Consider the following 6,100-nt stretch of genomic DNA (forward strand, 5'->3'; position numbering starts at 1 on the left):
CTTGCTACACAGTATGTAAGTACTACTTGGAATGTGTGAAGAAATCTTCACTGCATAAACCCAAGAGTTCACCAAGAACATAAGCTCCCGCCCTACCCCCACCTCTCTCCTCTTTGGGACATATTGAAGTTCCTGGGAAAAGTGGGGCACCCCCAGAGCACCTGTGTACCCCTGTACCCACCTGTCCTGAGTGGTCCAAATGCCAGTGAAATGCTATTTGGTGAGTGTTTCCTAGACTTTGCAAAATTTTCAAAGTAGAGGGAAATTTTGCCTGTAGCAACATATCTTACTTACCTTTCTCACCCCTTCCTTCTATTTTCCCCACATAAAAATATTAAGACAATGTTGGAAGTATTTCATTGAGAGAGAGGGAGAGCAAGAGAGATATTTAGAATGAGGATCCCTCTTGGTAGCTGATATGGTACATGAAAACAGACTAATACAGTAGCCAAAAGAATTCAAACGAATTGATAATAAAGGATTGGAGTTCTCTGGTGTGCAGGCACTATCCCCAGTGTAAATATTCTCTTCAGTTCTTCCCTACATCAAGCAGGCCACCTGTCTTTAGTTCCCTAAACTTACCACTCATTTCTTCCCCACACTCAATAATCCATAACCCTCATACAGAGTACTGGCCAATCCCACAGCCTTAATGAATTCTCCCTCACTCTCCACCACCAACACACATACCAAACCCTGACTAGAATAGAGCTCAACACATAATTTCTTACTGATGCTAATTGGGTTAACAGCTCAAGGTCTGACTGTGGGTCTCTGGGTAGTGCCCATGGCTCAGGTCAGTGTCTCCCAAACCTAGAGAACCATCAGGATTTCTGAGTGAGCCCCTTGCAATTTCAGATTCCCATCCTGTCCCATCAGAATCTCCACAGGTGAGGGATGGACATCTCTGCTTTTAAAAGGCTATTCTTATCATTTTGATGATTGGCCAAGTTTGGTAATTAGTAACCAGAAAATCTTTGAGGAACCAGACATTACCAAAAAGAAACAGACTTGAGAGAGCTTTGGGGCTCACAGGAAAACACTCTTATCATGCACCTACTACTGCCTGCAGATTTCATTCTGAGGACTTTGGTGGCCCATGAAACCAAATCATTTTCAATAGCCACCAACCTTATAGAAAAAAGCCCTTCAGATAGAACTTAACATATTCAAACTTTTTTCATTTTTTTAAGAATTAGTCTATGATGAACAATTACTAAGCTTATTGTCTCCCAGCAGTTCAGGATAACAGATAAGGTCAGTGGAATTGTTAGTGGTGGAAGAGATTCGAGCTACCCCAAGTTACTGGTGGCAAATTCATACATGTCTGCAGCAAATTTAGTCCTAGCCTCCTCAGAAGAAAGAATTAGACTGAGGGGCATACAGCAGAAAAGAGACCAAGGCAAGTTCCAGGACAGGAGTGGAAGTTTATTAAAAAAGCTTTGGTGGGGGAGGAGCCAAGATGGCCGAATAGGAAGAGCTCCGGTCTACAGCTCCCAGTGTGAGCGACGCAGAAGATGGGTGATTTCTGCATTTCCACCTGAGGTACTGGGTTCATCTCACTAGGTAGTGCCAGACAGTGGGCGCAGGTCAGTGGGTGCGTGCACCGTGCACGAGCCAAAGAAGGGCAAGGCATTGCCTCACTCGGGAAGTGCAAGGGGTCAGGGAGTTCCCTTCCCTAGTCAAAGAGAGTGGTGACAGACAGCACCTGGAAAATCGGGTCACTCCCACCTGAATACTGCACTTTTCTGACGGGCTAAAAAACGGCGCACCAGGAGATTATATCCCGCACATGGCTCGGAGGGTCCTACGCCCACGGAGTCTCACTGATTGCTAGCACAGCAGTCTGAGATCAAACTGCAAGGCGGCAGCGAGGCTGGGGGAGGGGCGCCCGCCATTGCCCAGGCTTGCTTAGGTAAACAAAGCAGCCAGGAAGCTCGAACTGGGTGGAGCCCACCACAGCTCAAGGAGGCCTGCCTGCCTCTGTAGGCTCCAGCTCTGAGGGCAGGGCACAGACAAACAAAAAGATAGCAGTAACCTCTGCAGACTTAAATGTCCCTGTCTGACAGCTTTGAAGAGAGGAGTGGTTCTCCCAGCACGCGGCTGGAGATCTGAGAACGGGCAGACTGCCTCCTAGAGTGGGTCCCTGACCCCTGACCCCCAAGCAGCCTAACTGGGAGGCACCCCCCAGCAGGGGCAGACTGACACCTCACATGGCTGGGTACTCCAACAGACCTGCAGCTGAGGGTCCTCTCTGTTAGAAGGAAAACTAACAAACAGAAAAGACATCCACACCAAAAACCAATCTGTACATCACCATCATCAAAAACCAAAAGTAGATAAAACCACAAAGATGGGGAAAAAACAGAGCAGAAAAACTGGAAACTCTAAAAAGCAGAGTGCCTCTCCTCCTCCAAAGGAACGCAGTTCCTCACCAGCAACGGAACAAAGCTGGACGGAGAATGACTTTGACGAGCTGAGAGAAGAAGGCTTCAGACGATCAAATTACTCCGAGCTACGGGAGGACATTCAAACCAAAGGCAAAGAAGTTGAAAACTTTGAAAAAAATTTAGAAGAATGTATAACTAGAATAACCAATACAGAGAAGTGCCTAAAGGAGCTGATGGAGCTGAAAACCAAGGCTCGAGAACGTCGTGAAAAATGCAGAAGCCTCAGGAGCCGATGCGATCAACTGGAAGAAAGGGTATCAGCGATGGAAGACGAAATGAATGAAATGAAGCGAGAAGGGAAGTTTAGAGAAAAAAGAATAAAAAGAAACGAACGAAGCCTCCAAGAAATATAGGACTAAGTGAAAAGACCAAATCTACGTCTGATTGGTGTACCTGAAAGTGACGGGGAGAATGGAACCAAGTTGGAAAACACTCTGCAGGATACTATCCAGGAGAACTTCCCCAATCTAGCAAGGCAGGCCAACATTCAGATTCAGGAAATACAGAGAACGCCACAAAGATACTCCTCGAGAAGAGCAACTCCAAGACACATAATTGTCAGATTCACCAAAGTTGAAATGAAGGAAAAAATGTTAAGGGCAGCCAGAGAGAAAGGTCGGGTTACCCTCAAAGGGTAGCCCATCAGACTAACAGCAGATCTCTCGGCAGAAACTCTACAAGCCGGAAGAGACTGGGGGCCAATATTAAACATTCTTAAAGAAAAGCATTTTCAACCCAGAATTTCATATCCAGCCAAACTAAGCTTCATAAGTGAAGGAGAAATAAAATACTTTACAGACAAGCAAATGCTGAGAGATTTTGTCACCACCAGGCCTGCCCTAAAAGAGCTCCTGAAGGAAGCGCTAAACACGGAAAGGAACAACCGGTACCAGCCGCTGCAACATCATGCCAAAATGTAAAGACCATCGAGACTAGGAAGAAACTGCATCAACTAACAAGCAAAATAACCAGCTAACATCATAATGACAGGATCAAATTCACATATAACATATTAACTTTAAATGTAATGGACTAAATGCTCCAGTTAAAAGACACAGACTGGCAAATTGGATAGCGTCAAGACCCATCAGTGTGCTGTATTCAGGAAACCCGTCTCACGTGCAGACACACATATAGGCTCAAAATAAAAGGATGGAGGAAGATCTACCAAGCAAATGGAAAACAAAAAAAGGCAGGGGTTGCAATCCTAGTCTCTGATAAAACAGACTTTAAACCAACAAAGATCAAAAGAGACAAAGAAGGCCATTGCATAATGGTAAAGGGATCAATTCAACAAGAAGAGCTAACTATCCTAAATATATATGCACCCAATACAGGAGCACTCAGATTCATAAAGCAAGTCCTGAGTGACCTACAAAGAGACTTAGACTCCCACACATTAATAATGGGAGACTTTAACACCCCACTGTCAACATTAGACAGATCAACGAGACAGAAAGTCAACAAGGATACCCAGGAATTGAACTCAGCTCTGCACCAAGCGGACCTAATAGACATCTACAGAACTCTCCACCCCAAATCAACAGAACATACATTTTTTTCAGCACCACACCACACCTATTCCAAAATTGACCACATACTTGGAAGTAAAGCTCTCCTCAGCAAATGTAAAAGAACAGAGATTATAACAAACTGTCTCTCAGACCACAGTGCAATCAAACTAGAACTCAGGATTAAGAATCTCACTCAAAATCGCTCAACTACATGGAAACTGAACAACCTGCTCCTGAATGACTACTGGGTACATAACGAAATGAAGGCAGAAATAAAGATGTTCTTTGAAACCAATGAGAACAAAGACACAACATACCAGAATCTCTGGGACACATTCAAAGCAGTGTGTAGAGGGAAATTTATAGCACTAAATGCCCACAAGAGAAAGCAGGAAAGATCCAAAATTGACACCCTAACATCACAATTAAAAGAACTAGAAAAGGAAGAGCAAACACATTCAAAAGCTAGCAGAAGGCAAGAAATAACTAAAATCAGAGCAGAACTGAAGGAAATAGAGACACAAAAAACCCTTCAAAAAATTAATGAATCCAGGAGCTGGTTTTTTGAAAGGATCAACAAAATTGATAGACCGCTAGCAAGACTAATAAAGAAAAAAAGAGAGAAGAATCAAATAGACGCAATAAAAAATGATAAAGGGGATATCACCACCGATCCCACAGAAATACAAACTACCATCAGAGAATACTACAAACACCTCTACGCAAATAAACTAGAAAATCTAGAAGAAATGGATAAATTCCCCAACACATACACCTTCCCAAGACTAAACCAGGAAGAAGTTGAATCTCTGAATAGACCAACAACAGGCTCTGAAATTGTGGCAATAAACAATAGCTTACCAACCAAAAAGAGTCCAGGACCAGATGGATTCACAGCCGAATTCTACCAGAGGTACAAGGAGGAGCTGGTACCATTCCTTCTGAAACTATTCCAATCAATAGAAAAACAGGAAATCCTCCCCAACTCATTTTATGAGGCCAGCATCATCCTGATACCAAAGCCTGGCAGAGACACAACCAAAAAAGAGAATTTTAGACCAATATCCTTGATGAACATTGATGCAAAAATCCTCAATAAAATACTGGCAAACCAAATCCAGCAACACATCAAAAAGCTTATCCACCATGATCAAGTGGGCTTCATCCCTGGGATGCAAGGCTGGTTCAATATACGCAAATCAATAAATGTAATCCAGCATATAAACAGAACCAATGACAAATACCACATGATTATCTCAATAGATGCAGAAAAGGCATTTGACAAAATTCAACAACCCTTCATGCTAAAAACTCTCAATAAATTAAGTATTGATGGGACGTATCTCAAAATAATAAGAGCTATCTATGACAAACCCACAGCCGACATCATACTGAATGGGCAAAAACTGGAAGCATTCCCTTTGAAAACTGGCACAAGACAGGGATGCCCTCTCTCACCACTCCTATTCAACATAGTGTTGGAAGTTCTGGCCAGGGCTATTAGGCAGGAAAAGGAAATAAAGGGTATTCAATTAGGAAAAGAGGAAGTCAAATTGTCCCTGTTTGCAGACGACATGATTGTATATCTAGAAAAGCCCATTGTCTCAGCCCAAAATCTCCTTAAGCTGATAAGCAACTTCAGCAAAGTCTCAGGATACAAAATCAATGTGCAAAAATCGCAAGCATTCCTATACACCAATAACAGACAAACAGAGAGCCAAATCATGAGTGAACTCCCATTCACAATTGCTTCAAAGAGAATAAAATACCTAGGAATCCAATTTACAAGGGATGTGAAGGACCTCTTCAAGGAGAACTACAAACCACTGCTCAAGGAAATAAAAGAGGATACAAACAAATGGAAGAACATTCCATGCTCATGGGTAGGAAGAATCAATATCGTGAAAATGGCCATACTGCCCAAGGTAATTTACAGATTCAATGCCATCCCCAGCAAGCTACCAATGACTTTCTTCACAGAATTGGAAAAAACTACTTTGAAGTTCATATGGAATAAAAAAAGAGCCCACATCGCCAAGTCAATCCTAAGCCAAAAGAACAAAGCTGGAGGCATCACACTACCTGACTTCAAACTATACTACAAGGCTACAGTAACCAAAACAGCATGGTACTGGT

The 6,100-nt window shown here is 42.9% G+C and overlaps 2 annotated features.

Moving 5' to 3' along the window:
• Positions 1,399-1,900: an enhancer, noted in NCBI's record as "H3K4me1 hESC enhancer chr10:113863635-113864136 (GRCh37/hg19 assembly coordinates)". NCBI's record gives its function as "activates a minimal SCP1, AML or CMV promoter by ChIP-STARR-seq in naive H9 embryonic stem cells {active_cell/tissue: H9 hESC(naive)}" and the evidence as "EXISTENCE:reporter gene assay evidence [ECO:0000049][PMID:30033119]".
• Positions 1,901-2,400: an enhancer, noted in NCBI's record as "H3K4me1 hESC enhancer chr10:113864137-113864636 (GRCh37/hg19 assembly coordinates)". NCBI's record gives its function as "activates a minimal SCP1, AML or CMV promoter by ChIP-STARR-seq in naive H9 embryonic stem cells {active_cell/tissue: H9 hESC(naive)}" and the evidence as "EXISTENCE:reporter gene assay evidence [ECO:0000049][PMID:30033119]".

Source organism: Homo sapiens, chromosome 10 (assembly GCF_000001405.40).
Source record: "Homo sapiens chromosome 10, GRCh38.p14 Primary Assembly".
NCBI classification, from domain to species: Eukaryota; Metazoa; Chordata; class Mammalia; order Primates; family Hominidae; genus Homo; species Homo sapiens.